The sequence below is a fragment of the Homo sapiens genome, chromosome 1, assembly GCF_000001405.40.
Source record: "Homo sapiens chromosome 1, GRCh38.p14 Primary Assembly".
NCBI classification, from domain to species: domain Eukaryota; kingdom Metazoa; phylum Chordata; class Mammalia; order Primates; family Hominidae; genus Homo; species Homo sapiens.
In genome coordinates, this window is record NC_000001.11 from 107,473,323 (window position 1) to 107,491,644 (window position 18,322).

An 18,322-nucleotide genomic window follows, 5' to 3' on the forward strand; every position below is an offset into this window, starting at 1 on the left:
CTTCCCTTTGGTAGTGGAATGGATCATCATGACCTTAGGGGAACAAGTGACCCCTCAGCTCATAAAAGATAAAAGAATAGAACAAGTGGCAACACCAAGTCCTGGCTAATACCCTCTGAGCATAAGGAGTCCATCTGTGGTCAGTTTTTCCATACCTTCCAGAAAGAACTCATAGAGGGGAAAGGAATCAAGGTCTCGTAAGTCACATTTGACAGTAGATTGCAGTTTGAGAAGAGGAAATGTATGTGACAATCAAGAAACCCACCAAAAAAATGAAAGAATTAAATAATTTAGCTATATCCCTGTGTCGCTCCTCATCCAAGATGGTGCAAGAAAAATAGATAGAAGTAAGAGAGGAAGAAATGCTGCTTGATCAGTTCTTTCACTGTGGAAATTCTAAATGTTTTTGTAAACTCATGGCAATTGTGAGAGCTTGTTTATCTACCTTGTGGCTTGCTTGCTAAAGCTATGATCAGAGCTGTTACAACACCTTGCTGACTTCAGCTTTTCCACCAGGTTTCCACACTTCATCTTTTGGCCACGTAACTCTGTTTGAATCTAACATTAATACTCTAACCTTATCTGTCAAATTCCACAAATTATCTTGGTCACTCCATTTGAAATCATTCCTAATATCAAAACATCAGAGGATTATAGTATGTGATATTGGATACTCCATAAATGAATTATATTTATCAATACGAAAAGGAATCCTTTAGAATACAGTCAAGCTATTACCAAAGCAGTATTAGTTTTTCTGGTATCTAAGGATCATATTTTACTATCACAAAAAGAAATCTGTCTAGCAAATAACTATTTGCATCCAGCACTGGATCAAGTGTTGTATAAGGATTTTAAAATGAACCTTTCTGTTTACTGACATAGGACACTCTAAGACTGTCAATAACAATAAAGAGAGAGTTGGGACATGCTTAAAATGAATACACCCACAGAATAAGTTTAGAGTTTTCAGTCTGAGGTAAACCCACAGAGCAGGGCACCAAGTAAAAAGTGTGATCACTGAAAGATGCCTGTTGGGTAGAAATTTTCACTTGGATCTTTAATTTGCAACTATATGCAGGATTATGTGAGATAATGCCAGGATTGTAAATGGGTGTTTATCCTCATGCCAGTACTATCAACTCATGGTGGATGCCTGGAAACTTGTGTTGAGAAGCATTTGAAGTTCAGTGCAAGAGAGTCCCATGATTAACTAGCTGTATTTCTGACTTATTCCATTTTATGCACTATAACAGAATACCACACACTGGGTAATTTATAATGAATAGAAGTTTATCAACTCACAATTCTGGAGGCTGACAAGCCCAAGATCAAGGGGCTCACATCTTGTAATGGCCTTCTTGTTGCACCATAACATGGCAGAAGGCATCACATGATTGAAGGGCAGAGAGAGAAAGAGGAAAAGAAAGGGTCAGCCCACCCCATGATAACAAACCCTCTCCCAAAATAACAGCATTAGTCCATTCATGAAGGTGGAGCCCTTATGAGCTAAACACTTCTTAAAGGTCCCACTTCTTAATACTGTTACAGTGGCAAATAAATTTCAACATGAGTTTTAGAGAGAACACACGTTCTGTACATAGCAGTCTCCTATGTACAGGGGAAGAGGAAATGACAGTGTAAATGCAGACATATTTGCCATTTTCAGCCTAGACATTGGCATTTCTGGTTTATTTTCTGTATGAGCTGATTTGTACTTGGAGCTCTACCAAAATGTGGTAAAACCCTAGGATGAGTAACAATTGATACTATCAACAAAGACCTCTGCCTAGTCAAAGTGTGATATGAAAGCAGAGCACTTAGTCAATACAGCTGCAAATCTACTGACTATCTATAGAAGAGTTCATGTCTCCCTGGTAAGTGGGAAAGTCAGCTATGTTTTGAGGAGCATGGAATGTGGCACTGTGCAATATTATTTACCACATTTCTCCTGATTGTTCTTTTCTATGTGAAGAGCAGTAATCTATAAATTGGGAGACCTGGATTCTAGTCCCAGTTCTACTCTCAATTGCTTATCTACAGCTTCCTTATCTACAGCTCATCTAGATGGTTTCTAAAGTTTCCTGCAAGCTCTGATTTTACTGCTTCTATGCAAGCAAATTACATAGCAGGGGTGCTTTTTGTTCCTCTCACCCTTTCATTGTGAACAGTACTAAAGGGTCTGTCTTAGATCCCAGTCTCCTATATTTACTCCCTGAAGAAGATAATCCACTCTTACATTTCCAATTCAAGTACTTAGTCACCTCTAATTCCCACAGCTCAGCACCTGAAAACTTACTATCTTCCTGATCTAGAAATGACAAAGTTTCTTTATTGTACCTTCCCCAAAATATATCAGGGACAACTGCCCTTCTTCATTGCTATGACTGATGCCCTGACCCAGGCCTTATCGTTTTATCTTTTACATTAATTGAGAAGTAATTCTTTGTTGTGGGGGGTTGTTCTGTATACTGCAGGATGTTAGCAACATTCCTGGCCTCGCTATACACATCAGTGGCCAGTAGTGTGCCCTCCCTACCCACTTGTGACAACCAAAAAAAATGTCTCCAGACATTGTCAAATACCCATGGGAGCAAAATCATCCAGCGTTGAGAACCACTACTTTAGACTGACATCCAAAGACATCCATTAAATGTTAATTCTTCAAAATTTTTCAATCCTTTTTCCAATTATTCAAGAACCCCTTATGACAGAGTCAATCAAGAACATGCAATGTTTATTTTGCATATTTCATTTGTCCAACTCAAAGTGCCCTTACTGTCACACTTTTCCAGTTTGTCGATTCATAGATACAGTCATTCACATCAGGAAGACTTCTGCGGTTAATTTCATACCTTCATAGGATCACTGCATTTTTCTGACATTGTTTTCTTCTCAGCATCCTTTATGGTCTTTCTCTTCCAATGGCCTAAATGCTGATGTTCTTCAGTTTTCTATCTGTAGTCCTCATTTTTACTTGGTCTATATTCTTCTAGGATGAAGTCTTCTACTCTTTTTGATTCATCTTTTGCAACAACGACCACCACCACCCCAGCTCCAAATTTGTGTCTCCAGGATGACCTATCTCCTGTTCCATTAAATAGTTTTCCAACTAATAACAAAACAGCTGCAGAAGAACCTTGACAGTTCTAAAAGTCAATAGGTCCAAAAAACATTTCTCTCTCTCCTGACCAAACTCTTCCTCTTATCTTCTTTTCTCAATAAATTTCTTTATTATGCATCTAAATACCCCAAACAGGAAGCTTAGACTCTCTCTTATCCATTCACATAACCTGTCTCCAAATCTTTTCCCTCCTTCCCTTCACCATTGTTCTAACCTCGTCCAAGTCCATTCTATTTGAGTATGGTCTCCTTACCTCCAGTCTGCCGTTTTTCTGGTCTAGATTCACCTTCCTCTTCTCCTTTAAACACCACCCTCCTTCTAAGTCTTTGACAGCTTTCCATTCCTTATTACTAAACTCCACTGTGGCACCTTCACAACCAGGTCACATTTGCCTTTCCCTTTGTGCATCCATCATTCCAGCCATAGCAGTCCATGCATCATTCACTAATGTGTCTTTCAGTTGGGCTTCAGGCAGAAAACTGAAACCATTTCTAGGTATTTCAACAGAGAGAATTTATTAAAAGAAATGGTTTAAAAAGTATTTGAAATTTTAAAGTGAGAACAGGATACTGAAGTAATTCCTGTGTTAAGTAAGCAGGAACCATCTATCACTCTGGGACTGAGGGATTACAGGAAAGAGGATTGAGTTATCAGAAAGTAAAAGTTTGGATAAAAGGGACCCCCACAGAGCTGAAACCTGCACCTCTAAGGTGGGGTAATGGCTGGCTGCTGCAGCTGCCTCTGAAATGCTGAGTAGAGCCTCCTTGGAGCTGAGGCTTAAACCTCTAGGGAAGGAGTGCCACCAGGCTGGTGTAGGAACCTCTAACGGTGTGATGAAGCTGGTTATGAATAAAGCTCAACACTGGAACCACATGTTGCTGTTGATGTGAAGGGCCGTTGCTGGGCAGTACTGTTAGAGCACCATCAAACAGAGTCAAGGAAACAGGATCTTCCATGCCTCCTACTTTCTCTGCTCCCTCTAGTGCCCCCTGTTGGTGGGATCCAGCAGACAACTTGCAGAGTTCTGGCCTCAACATCAGAAGGGTGGATTTAGAGTTAAAAGACAATTGCTTAATAACCAATACAGTACACTTTCACATCTCCTTGTCTTTACTGATGCAGTTTCCCCATTTATAATGGCTTTTCTACAAGTATCTGCCTGATGAATGCCTTTGCTCAAATACAATCTCTTTTTTATAATCTCCCTTAATCTTCCCAAAAGTAATTATTTATACTATCATGTGAGTTTCCCCAGTAATTTGTAAATACGTTTTTTGTAGATTTTTTTTATACTATATCATAATATGTGTTTGTGTGTTTATTTTCCATTTATTTTCTGCCAAACCAGGTACTCCTTTAGGACAGTTAGTTACAACCATAAAATATAGCAGGGTGCCTGGCATACAACAGATATTGGTTAAGCTCAATGGAATTGATAAGGGCATTTTAATGACATTAATATTAGATCATTTCTTATAGATATTTTATCATCCCAGCCAGATTTAAACTTCATAAGAGCAGAAATCATCCTTTATATTTCTTTTATTTTCTTTGCGGGGTTAAGTGCAAGGTTGAGCACACTGAAGAAGAGCTCAGTGATATTTGTTAACCACCTAGCTTGTTTATTAGCTACCACAATTTTGGTTCAAAATGACATGAAGATGGAGCATGATTATGAATATCAGGTAAGATCCATAATTAGGTTAGATGTGCTTCTAGCCCATGATTCCAACAGTTAGAGGGCACTGTATGTATGGTAAAGTTCTGTATTTGTTGGAGGACTAACACAATCAAGAGACCAAATGTAATATGTTTTATAGTGAATTCTAAATAATGAAATATATTATAGGTTTTATTTTTCTCTATTGATCTCCTACAGAAAATATATCCTGCCAATCCATGAGATTACTAATTCTGGGCTATATCTGTTCCTAGTATATTTATTAAATTTCTCACAACTATTAAAATCAACTAGTAATTACTTAAATGCAGGAAAAATATTGAATTTTAACTTAATCACCAGCTTCTTGAAAAAAGAAACCTCTGTTCAACAGCTGATTTATATTCACATCCAAGAAGAAGAAAAATAGCTTTTTTTTTCTAAAGGGGAGTGATATGTAATTAACTATTGATTTCTTCTCAATTATTCAAGGCAAGCAATTATCGATATTGATGGAACAGATATTTCCCTACCTCTAGTGCCCAAATGAAAGGAAATATCCCATTCAGCATTCTGCTGCCTGGAACAAGAAATGCTGAGGATCTTCAACTTTAGCTGAAAACAGTTATCTGGATCTGTTTATTCCATGTTGCCCCAATTAAACATATTTCTTCAAGTGCAAGCAAAATAAAATCCTGAAAACCTACATATGCTTTCCAAATTAACTAAAGCCAAAAAACAAGAGCTTTTGTCAGTTTTGACCATGAGGCTAACCACCCTACATGTGGACTTTGCTTCACAGCTACAGATCTTGACATTTTTAACCATGACTCATAAAATAATGTGGTTCTAATATTATGATTTCTAAGCCACTCAATAAGAGGTAGCTTATATAATCATTAGAAACCATGGAACACTGCCTTGCATATCAATATTTGGAGCCTGAAGGATTTAGTAGGCCTTAATAGTCACTTCTGACATTTACAGATAGCAAACGTGGATACATTTGAAAATTATGCCAATACACTACGCAACCGTGTTAGAGGTCACCAAGGAAATGTTGAGGAAGGCAGTAAAACAGTGGTCTATTTAGGGCACTCTGTTATTAACCATGTGGGTATCCACCACCATCTTTCCTAAGCTCATTGACACACAAAGCACTGGCATGTTTGTGTGTAAGAAGCTTCTTTTGAAGCTGACATGACTGTTGAACATAATTAGTGGACAAGGCAACATTCTCTATTGAGTTACTACTTGGAGGGTAGAGTTGTTTTCTTTTAATACTTTGCACTTAATAGTAATATTGGGTATGTGTATATGAGTGTGTAGTGTGTTGAACTCATGTGGCATCCCTGGGGAAATTTCACCATGACATTTTTAAAAATGGAAAATGTTACAATTTATAAAAAGCTACTTTTTCTGCTCTGTTCCCCACCTCCCATTCCAGAGGGGTTCTATATATTAAATGCTTAAGCAGCATATGTTGCTTGGGAAATGTTCTTGGCTCTTTTACTCTTTGTTGTTGTTTTAATTTCCCTGGGTTCTAGTTAACATTCTGCTAAATCAGTGAAACAGTGATTATCTAAAAGAATAGGAGACATGGAATTAATGAGGTTAGTCAGAATTTTGAAGAAATAAGAAATTATTAGAGGTGAAAGTTACATGACAGGGTCTGTGAATGAATTCTAGTCTCTGAAGTTGCTTGTCTTGATTTATTCAAACTGATTCCATTAATTGATGGACATAATGAAATTTTGGTAATCAGGGTTTCACCATCGCATTTATTACTATTCCCGGAAATCAAGGTAACCTTGGGCTATACTTCCCATATTTACAAGGTGATAAAAATCCTTAATAGGCTGTCAGGGACGAATGTGACTGCTTTTCCTCACACTCCTCCCATGAAACAAGCTTTCTCTCTTCCCATCTGGCTGCCGCCTGCCTGGAGCATGCTACTTTCCCCGTGTCCCCACCCCTCCTCATCCCCATGCCTCCCGGTGGGTTCTGTCTTCATGCATGCAGCGCTGGAATCACGCACCGAGAGAATGGCCCACCCCTTAGAGGTTTTTGGTCATTTTAGCAATACCGCTTTGCATTTTAAATACCATTCATCTGGCTTCAAAGATCTGCACTCTTGCATCGGGCACTTGTCCTTTAAAAACCCAAAAGATCACAACAGGTCCCAGTTCCATGAAGAAAAGATACTGCCAAACTAGGACTATTGCATTACTTTGTATTCTATAGCCTGAAATGGACAATGATAACATCCAAGATTGCAGCAAAAATCTATATGAAAAGGACTAATATGATAAAAACAAAGGCAGAAAACTACATTTGTTTGGAAATTGGAGTCACGGGCTTCGTTTGTGGAGGGGAGGGGGGAGCACAAAGATCGATAGAGATTTTTTTTTTAGGCTGAAAACATGATGTACCAGATGAACTTCAATTGATTCTGCTTCTCCTCCCCGCGCCCACCCACCCCTACCTTCCCCCTCATTCTGCAGCGAATGTCTGCGACAACGAGCTCCTGCACTGCCAGAACGGAGGGACGTGCCACAACAACGTGCGCTGCCTGTGCCCGGCCGCATACACGGGCATCCTCTGCGAGAAGCTGCGGTGCGAGGAGGCTGGCAGCTGCGGCTCCGACTCTGGCCAGGGCGCGCCCCCGCACGGCTCCCCAGCGCTGCTGCTGCTGACCACGCTGCTGGGAACCGCCAGCCCCCTGGTGTTCTAGGTGTCACCTCCAGCCACACCGGACGGGCCTGTGCCGTGGGGAAGCAGACACAACCCAAACATTTGCTACTAACATAGGAAACACACACATACAGACACCCCCACTCAGACAGTGTACAAACTAAGAAGGCCTAACTGAACTAAGCCATATTTATCACCCGTGGACAGCACATCCGAGTCAAGACTGTTAATTTCTGACTCCAGAGGAGTTGGCAGCTGTTGATATTATCACTGCAAATCACATTGCCAGCTGCAGAGCATATTGTGGATTGGAAAGGCTGCGACAGCCCCCCAAACAGGAAAGACAAAAAACAAACAAATCAACCGACCTAAAAACATTGGCTACTCTAGCGTGGTGCGCCCTAGTACGACTCCGCCCAGTGTGTGGACCAACCAAATAGCATTCTTTGCTGTCAGGTGCATTGTGGGCATAAGGAAATCTGTTACAAGCTGCCATATTGGCCTGCTTCCGTCCCTGAATCCCTTCCAACCTGTGCTTTAGTGAACGTTGCTCTGTAACCCTTGTTGGTTGAAAGATTTCTTTGTCTGATGTTAGTGATGCACATGTGTAACAGCCCCCTCTAAAAGCGCAAGCCAGTCATACCCCTGTATATCTTAGCAGCACTGAGTCCAGTGCGAGCACACACCCACTATACAAGAGTGGCTATAGGAAAAAAGAAAGTGTATCTATCCTTTTGTATTCAAATGAAGTTATTTTTCTTGAACTACTGTAATATGTAGATTTTTTGTATTATTGCCAATTTGTGTTACCAGACAATCTGTTAATGTATCTAATTCGAATCAGCAAAGACTGACATTTTATTTTGTCCTCTTTCGTTCTGTTTTGTTTCACTGTGCAGAGATTTCTCTGTAAGGGCAACGAACGTGCTGGCATCAAAGAATATCAGTTTACATATATAACAAGTGTAATAAGATTCCACCAAAGGACATTCTAAATGTTTTCTTGTTGCTTTAACACTGGAAGATTTAAAGAATAAAAACTCCTGCATAAACGATTTCAGGAATTTGTATTGCAATTTCTTAAGATGAAAGGAACAGCCACCAAGCAGTTTCACACTCACTTTACTGATTTCTGTGTGGACTGAGTACATTCAGCTGACGAATTTAGTTCCCAGGAAGATGGATTGATGTTCACTAGCTTGGACAACTTCTGCAAAATATGAGACTATTTCCACTTGGGAAAAATTACAACAGCAAAAAAAAAAAAAAAAAAAAAAAAAAATCTAAGTGATTGCCAAGATTATGCCAAAGCCTGTTGGCAGAGTACTAAGAGACTTTTATTTTTAAGTCATGCTATTTTCACAGATTGATGGTGATCATGTGACTCTAGGGATGCTGATCTATGTATCTTTCCAAATACAGTGTTTACATGGAGTATCACAAGACGCAACCTGGGGAACCAGGAAGGGAGCAGGGAAATTGAGTGATTTGCAATTTGACTTTGAATATATTCAGACTTAAGTATTTAGAGGAAATATCAAAATATAAAGCAGCAAGTAGACATAACTGCTGTTCCTGAGAATAAAGTTTGTTTTAAGTGCTGCCCAAGGTGTAATAAATTCTTGTTTCTGCCTTTTATTAGGCCAATTACTGTGCAAGACAGCAAGGGGAGGCAGGTGGGGAAGAACCTTTGCAAAGTTTCAAAGAGGCTAAGACAGTGTGCATTTCGTTCCCAGCACACTGTTGTCCTACAGATTACAAGTGTATTAGCAGCAGCATCTCCTGGAATCAAAAACAATTATCAGCCCGAACCAGAGTCTTAAGGACAATGAAATTCTACATGACTTGGTAGAACAATAACCTATGATAGTGTAAGGTCAGAAACCTAGTTCCAGTCTGAATTCTTCACCCTGCTGCCACTCCTTGCTGAAACAGGGAAGGGGGGAGGAATGTCTCCTGATAAATAACCTGGGTAAAAACTAGATGAAGGAACAGCATGTCTTATTGGTTTTGTTCCCAGAAAAGCCAATTCGAAGAAGGCAATAAAAGGTAAACAGGTAATGCCTGTGCTGCCTGCCACCCCACGTCTAAGTCTATTGAATGTTTGTTATTCAAACCAACAGTCTCTTTTGATGTAAGAAATAAGGAAAGATGGAAATAAATTAGAGCTTAGGCTTAGTGCCAGAGTGGCCAACCAGAAATTGGAGATTTACGTTGGAAGCATAAATAGAAAATTATATTTCAGGCTCACCAAAGAAACACATGAAAATGCTGATAACATAGGGAGTTTGAGATTATTTATAATGAGGTGGATTTCTGATATTAAAATTAGAGTTTAAGTTGTCTTATAGTTTATTAGCACAAACCAAAGGCAGCCCATGTTATTTCTGGCAAAGATGCACTTTATCGTTATCTGCTCATGGCTTTGTCGCAACGCTCAGGAATCAGACACTGCACACTTCAATAGTTGGGATTCCAAAAGCTAATTCTAAAATTTAATGAAGGCCTGATTTAAACTGATTCATCTGCATTTTATCTTTATGAGGCCATAAGAATCTAAATTGATGAGGAATATCTTTCATTCCGTGTATTTAGATATAGTTTTCTGAATTTCCTGAAGCGATGTGATCTGCTTTTAATAAAAATTCACTTTTAGGTGTACAACAAATGGAAATGAAATGTTCTTTTTAAATCTGGATTCTCAAGTTCTTCTAAAGGAGCTACTCCTCTGAGGAAACCTCAACTCAGTGGACTTGATTCATCTGTTACTTTCCAGCATTCTTACAAAGCTGGTTTCATCTACAATGTTGTGCCCTAAGAACAGGACTGGGGTGAAAAGCGGGTACTCAGTTGTTCATATATTTGAGGTCCTAATTCTTGGTATTTTTTCCCTTTGATAAATCCCTTAAAGTGGCTTAATGTAGTCTTGCATATGAGTTAATCTATCAACTTTCCCACATAGAACTGATATAATTCCTTCTATCAATAATATTGATGGGCATAACATTTCAAAAAATGGGACAAAGGTTCAGCTATCTAGAAAGATTTGCTATTTATAGGAAGATAATGGACATGCCCTGCTGTGATTTGAGGGTTATTTATTTCTGACCCTGTACACAGCCTAGGGGAAGAATTTAGTCCAGCAAAGAGGGGACCTTGCTTAGAGAGACCCATTCTGACTCTCCTCCAGCTTTCTCCCAGATATCAGGAACCTAGAGTTTCCTACTCAGATAACCGCCCCCCACACGCACACTTTTAGGCCAAATGTAGGCCCCCTCTGGGGGTTTAAACTCCTGGAGGCAAGCAACATCCTGAGTGCATATACCTGGGCACAGGGAGTGGCAAAGGGTGCATCTGTGTGGATGGATTAGGCCCTGGGGCCTGGAGTGTTCACTGTGGAATTTACACACAAGCAAGGAGAAGCCACTTGCCATGAAAACAAGAGTCCAGGGCTGAAAAATAAAGGGATGAGGGGTAGGAAGGAGATAGACAAGGGCTACCACGAGGCTGGGGGCCAGTACAGAACACTGAACAGTCTAAGAATTCTAAATCTATACCTGGGCTTCCAAGGGTTATGAAAGCATCATGTGTCAAAGTGGCAGGATGGAAGATAATTTAACAGTTTGTTAGCTTTATGTATGACTTTTAAATACTTAGACATGTGGCATGGGGTCCTCCATTGGTACTTTTGCACAAGATCCTGCAGACATTTGGGGTCGATCTGCCTGAGGTGCCCTTGAGTCAGATCCCTAAGTTGGCACAAACTGCTAACCACATAACACAAAGAAAGGTCCAGGTTGGAAGAAGGCGTCTGCTCCACAGTTCAGCTGGCCCTGTAGTTAATGCTCCCCTCACCTTCTCTTGGACCTGTGGTCTGACTGGAGTATAAGAAATTTTGGATGCACTGGGGGAACAACTGTGAGGAAATCTTGACATCGAATATTTTGTTCCATCTCCTTCACCCTCTACCATCAATAATCCAGTATGATTGGGATGTAAAGACCCAGCATTCTGAAATGGGATGCTCTGTACTATATGGGAAATGGGTTGTTGTACTTTACCGGTTGTTAAACACTAAATAAAATACCTGTTTAACAGATTCTCTGCTCACAGGATTGACCAAGATATGTGGGAACTGCATTTTCTATATATTTGTAATGTGAAAACACTGTAGGTATTTTTGATCTGGTGCAACTCGGAGCTCAGCTTCCCGAATCTGAACTAGAATTCCTTACCTACCTTTCCTACTCCCGACCTTAATTGAGAAGGATGGCAAGGTGGCAGTGGCTAAGCTGTATCAGAGAACAGTACGAGCCACCAGGTAAAACTCCAAGTTTTTTATTTTGTTTTTTTGTTTGTTTGTTTTTTAAAGAAAGTCCAGTTGGAAAGTTTTAATAATATAGAGGAATGAAAATACAGGTAAGGGACACTCTCAAGGTTTTGATTTAAGTATCTGGCCATGCACAATTCTTTCTTTGCCTCAGGAAATAAGGATTAAATTCTAATCAATTTTATCTCTAAGAAACATCAAATGTTCATCTGACGTAAATATTCTGTCAGTTCTGACCATTTCCATATAGAACGATTTTATACTTTATGTTTTTACTTTCTTACACTAAAAGTAGCTTTCTCCTTTAGCTACCTAAAACAGATGCCAACAAATTCCCAGAATAAACTGCACATAAACATAATATGTCAGAAAGAATTAAGAATGCCAACTATCATGTTTTGAATTTTCACCAGTAATCTTGGGAACATAGTGAACTTTTACTCTTCTCAACACCTGGTGAGGTGTGACTCACATATTATTATCTTCATTTTGCATCTGAAATATCAAATAACTAAGAAACACACCTATCGCTTGTATAAATCATATTATTGCATTGAACTAGAAATGAGAAAATAACATCTGTGAAAAACTCATAATGATAATGAATAAAATGCAGTTACTTGAGATCTGCTATGGCAGAAAAGTTCTGTCCCTAACACATTTTTAGAGTAGGCCTTGAAACAAGTCTAGCAAGAAGACCTAAATGATGTTAGGGGGGGTTGTTTAGAGTTACCTAATTGAGCATTTATTAAGTGCTGGAATCCCCCTCTGCCTTCTCTCATCACCCAAAAGCTGTTTTTCATTGAAGGATGAATTAAAATGGAGTAGTAACATTTAAAATTATGTGCTGTTTTTATTAACCTAAAATGATAGCTGGTAAAATGGGCCATTATTCTGCAAAATCTAATTATGTTAACACTAAAGATTTAGCTTGCCTGGCTGAAGCAAACTGCAGAGGATTGGAAGTAAAAACAATCTTCATTTTCTTAACTTAGTCCCATTTTTTCAAAGGCATTACTTTTAACTATTATTAAATTAGTGAACTGTGAATTCTATGGGGAAAAATGACTGGAAAGAGAAAAAATAATTACTACCCCTCCTACATCTGTCTGAATAGATTCTGAAATTCCTGCATGGCAAGAATGTGTCAAGTTGTCTTGAAGACATAAAGTACCACAGCTGTATCCTCCAGCCGCCCTGATAGTACCACATTACAGCTTTGCTCTTACAAGGGGCAGTCATTTTAATCTAATAAAAGACAGAAAATGGCAGAAAATCACACACCTGAAGTCCTGTTAAGAATAGGTGATTCTTTTTGCCCCAGGCAGGCAAGAACATAATGTCATTTTTGTTCGTTTGTATTTGCACTCTGAAGGAGGGCTGCTCCTGTTGGGGAATGGTTTTCCCTCTGCCAGTGTGAAGCACTGCAGGAAAACATTCTCCAAGGAAATCGCATTTTGCTATTTACCAGTCATGACTACCCCATGAAGCCCTGAGTAATTGTTTTGGCTTTCATGGTGTGATAAACACCTAGAGGCAAAGAGATTAGTGTCATTACTCTCCGTCTCTTTTTCTCTCCCTTTGGAAAAAAAAAAAAAAAAGGTGGGGGGTGTCCAAATATAGTATGACAATGTTTTCAAGAATCTTTCAGTCAGTTGATGCTTAATTATAAAGACCCCAGCTAAATATTCTGTTTATTAAATTAATAGCGTGACAAGTATTGGAGAGCTTTACAACCACTTAAACTCATGTTTACATCCTGTGTAATTACAATTCATAATTGGGAAAGCAGTCAAATCTAAATGCATTCTGATCAATGGCTCTCAGGCTGCCAAGTAGACCCCACACAAGACATTAGAGTAAGTGACTTCAAAACAGGACTTCTACACCTAGAATTCAAACTAGGTTAGGGGAGGGCACTGTGGGGAGTCTATCAGTGAAGTGTTTAAAGTTATATGTAAGATTTCCTATATATATGACATTGTTTTTCTGAATAGAGAAAGAAATTCTTTTTTTAAATTTATAAAAGGCCTGAAAGTATAAGAATGACTGCTCTGAATCCTAAGATTACGATTTACCCCAACTGTGGAAAGTCTCATTACATAATAAATTGTTGTCAGGAGATGAATGATAATGACTCAGGTGAATGAAAGCACATGTTTTCCTACAATCAGTTATTTATTTATTTCATACTAATCTTATCTCTACCTGAGCTGCTAAGGAAATCTGTAGTCCCTCTTGTGTGTGTGAGTGTCTCTATATATTACCTTCTGAAAAAGTCTGATATAGTGTGAGCTCTGATTCTGTTTTCAGGGTGGTGAGAAGCAACCCACTCTGATTTTTCTTTATTGCAGACATTTTGCTAGAAAGGGCTTCAACCATTTTTTCCCACACTTCTCATAAAATTTATTAGAAAGAAAATAATATATGTGTGACACAGGAACACACTTGGATTGAATGGCACAAAGTCGTTTCCTTTTTGACTGGTTTGTTTCATTTGTATGGCTGTTCTAGCTTACAAGAATTAGATCAGGAGCAAAGGTCTTTCTAATTGTCTTTATGGCTCCCTGAGTTGTGGGCACTACTCTAATTATGTGAGGACTTACATTCCTAATCAGTCCGGTAGACCTGCACCTGCCATAGCTGCTAGCCACCTCTGGCCACTGGGCATATCAATGTTGTCAGTCCAAAGTCTTGTGAATTTAAAAGACACACCATACTTCAAAGTCTCAGTGCAAAAACAAAAGATGTGAATTATCTCTTTCATAATTTTCATATTGGTTACACATTAAAATGATAATATTTTAGATACACGGATTAAATAAAATATATTACTAGAATTTATTTTAACTATTTTTTTCCCTTTTCTAATGTGGCTATTAGAGATTTTTGAATTACATGTGTGGCTCACATTATATTTCTGTTGGACAACACTGCTCTAGACACCTAATTTTTCCATCTATTAGCCCCTAAAACGGGGCTAATAATATTCAAGTAGTAGAAGTATTCACTTCCCAGAGTTAGTATGAAAATCAAGATGAGTTACTGAATATGAAATTCCTTGGTAAATTGTAGTTTTCCATGATAGTGATAATCACGATAAAATTTTCAAGCTCCTGTTCCATATTTGCAGATTTTTTGGAAGTTTCCAGCCAGAGGTCTTGCCATAACTTTCTCTGAAAGTGCTCCAATGCAATAAATGCAACACTTTCAAAGTTTTGAATGTGACACATGACCTGAACCTGGAGCTTACATCAGCAACAATGACAACAGGAGAATACTAATGGTAATAAAAAGATTAGTAATCAACAACCTTTATCAAAAGTCTTGAGCCAGGTACCATGTTAAGTATTTCTTTTTACCATCTCTATTCTAAATAATACACTGCACCTCTATTAATGCAGTTTATGAACACATAGTTGACTTGTAGTTTGCTTTCTGAAACTTAATTGCTTCTGATAAGTTATATATGTATACAACAAGAAGATGGCTAAATGTGACTTATAGCAGCAATTAAATGGACAAAGCAAAATTTGAGTCAACCATATGTGTATATGGTTGCATAATAGAGATACAGTATGTGAAAGGTGTCCAAATTTCTATAGTTGGATTGAAGTGTTGAACCTCACATTAATTTAAATTTTATCAATTTAAAGGATAATATTCGTGAGATAGTATTTCTGTTATCACCCCATTTAACAATCTTACAGGATCAGCTTATCATTTCACACCTCAAACTCAAAATCCATCTTCACACTGGCCCCAGGACACCTGCCCAACCCATGAGCCTTGAAAATGCTCTACCCCTTCTCATCTTCTTGACTGTATTTAGATCTTTTTTAAAAACTTAGAATGCCTTTGAACACTCTTCACCCATTAAAACCCTATCCCACATCAGGTTCTGTCTTTCCAAGAAACCTTGCCAATTCATCTCACTGCTTCTATTCCTGCTTAAAGATTTGACCCAGCAGCTAGTTCTTCTTATGTGTGACTTATCTTGTGACTTGTTATCTCTCCTACTAGATTATCAGTGTTAATACTGACATGACACATACATACATACACACATGCATACACACAGAGGACCTTGCATTTAGTAAGGCTCTATATGTGCATTCACAAACATCTGTTGAGCATCTAGTAATGTACTAAGCACTGCTCTAGTTGATTGGAACAAGAGTCTAACACACATTTGAGACTGTGTGCCCCTCATTATACTTAAATTATGTAATATAAATCTATTGCTGTATTAAGTAATATAAATAAGAGCTAAAATAAAGAGAGTTCCTGAAGAGAAAATGTATATACACTCAAGATTTGCAAATTGAATCTCATTTTAAATTCATTAAGGAGTATTTCTAATTAAAACTTGTGGTTTATTCTTTTTTTAAAAAAGTGATAAATATATCCCAATTTACCTTTTCTAATGGGATCAATATATCCCAATTTACCTTTTCTAATGTCAGATTTTGATATATTTCTGCTTTTCTTAAAACAGAAACGTCTGCATTTCTCAATCTTCGTCATATATAGCCCTCGGCTGGGCGCGCTGGCTCACGCCTGTAATCCCAGCACTTTGGGAGGCTGAGGCGGGTGGATCACTTGAGCCCAAGAGTTCAGGACCAGCCTGGGCAATATGGTGAAACTCCGTCTCTACTAAAAATACAAAAAATTAGTTGGCCGTGGTGGTTTGTGCCTGTAATCCCAGCTGCTCGGGAGGCTGAGGCAGGAGAATCACTTGAACCTGGGAGGGAGAGGTTGCAGAGAGTCAAGATCGTGCCACTGCACTCCAGCCTGGATGAAAGAGCAAGACTTTGTCTCAAAAAAAGAAAAAAATATTTGGCCCTTGAGCTAACCATTTTCAACCTCGAGTGTGAATCAGAATCTCTTAGAGGGTTGTAGTAAAACAGTTTGCTGGAGCCAAGCCCCAGAGTTTCTGATTCAGTAGGTCTGAAATGGAGGTAAAGGGTGTGATCTGCAACAAGTTCCCAGGTGAGGTTGAAAACTGCTGATCCTGACATGACTTTGCGAACCATTGGCTTAAACTAATTAAAAATCTCACTGCAGTTTAACAAGAAGCTCACTGGGTTTACCCTAAACTCCGCTTCCCTGAGGTTAACTAATATTAAAATGAGCATCATTATTCCTACCCAGAAGGGTTGTGGTGAGAATTAAAGGAGATAATGTACGTGAAAGTGTCTCATCTGAAGTTCACATTTATGAACTGTGAGTTAAAACTACACATTTTCAATTTAGCCATAAAATACGGCTAAAGCATATATTTCACTAGATCCTCCCACTCAAGCAATTCCAGCTATTGGAAATTCTGGTCTCTAAATTCAACAATTTTTACTGACAAAAATGATAAAATAATAGAATCATACAGCTGGCCAAGACCTTAGAGATTTTCTGGAGCGAGCAGTTAAATGTTTTGGAGCAGGTAAATAGTCAAACCTTTTTTTGTTTACTTTCTTGATTCAATAAAGCAATCAAAGCAATTGAATGGGTTGCATGTATCATTTCTCAACTTGAATATTTGGTTTTTTCCTAACTTGAATTATTTGACGGAAACAAGCTACTTCCAGACTAAAAGAAAAATAGAAATGAGATTCTCGTTTTTCTTGTCAGCTCATGGTTGTAGCTTCCAATGGATGCTCTGAGGCCCTGTGACAGCCCACTTAATTAAAGCCTGGTTCATTCTAACTCCAGTTTGCCCACTGACACACTCTGTGGCCTCACTCTGTGATGTTTCTCTACCCACTAGAAGGGCTCAAGGGGCTGTTAATGTAAGGAATCAATGATCAAAAATTAATTTTAAAGCCTGTGGTAAGAGCGCATTAACATGAACAGTGCAGCTTGCCTAGTGGAGAGTCTGAGCAGCACAGCTGACATCTTCCGAAGAATTGGAGAACAAAATTTTGCAGATAGAATGTGTCTTGAGAATAATGATGTATGTCACTATTAACCTAGTGCTAAGTTACAAGCTTAAATTGGAGACTCTGCAGAGGAATACACAGCCTCTGTAATTTTCAGTTTGGTGTAATAATATGGAAATGGCTTTTGGTGCCGGGATTGGATCAGCCTAAATGAGCTGGAATTGATAGCTGCCTGTAATACTAGGGGCAGGAGAGAGTCATCACGTCTTTGTCCTTGCTGACTTATCTAGGGCTCTCCAGATGTGGCAGTTTTGAGGAGTGAGCCTTTAAATACGTTATGGAAACGCACTACAATATCTTGCAGCACAGAGAAGGTGCTTCTAAAATTGACTCAACAAGAATACAGAATGGGGATCCTCCTTTCCAAGGAAGAAAAAAGCTTTTGTTCCTATTAAAAGTAAAAGGAAATGCTAACTTCAGAAAAAATGTGATGGAGGTGTTCCGGGGGAACAGAGAATTTCAAGAAGTAGAGCAATCCTAGCTCTCCCCTCAGATACCCCCACTCCAAGCCCCAATCCTCTCTATCCCCTGGAAGTCATAGCATTGCAGAGGCTGACACCCACACCCTTTCTTTGGGG

At 38.8% G+C, this 18,322-nt stretch overlaps 1 protein-coding gene across 16 annotated transcripts in view; it reads left to right on the forward strand.

The window, feature by feature from the left end:
- Positions 1–11,601, forward strand: part of NTNG1 (netrin G1) — a 344,836-nt gene extending 333,235 nt beyond the window's left edge. For all 16 annotated transcript variants that reach the window (XM_017000683.3, NM_001312688.2, XM_047449449.1 and 13 more), the window contains one exon: positions 7,289–11,601. In XM_017000683.3, coding sequence (XP_016856172.1) covers positions 7,289–7,518 — 230 coding nt within the window. In that variant the 3' untranslated portion in view covers positions 7,519–11,601. The remainder of the gene's footprint in view (positions 1–7,288) is intronic.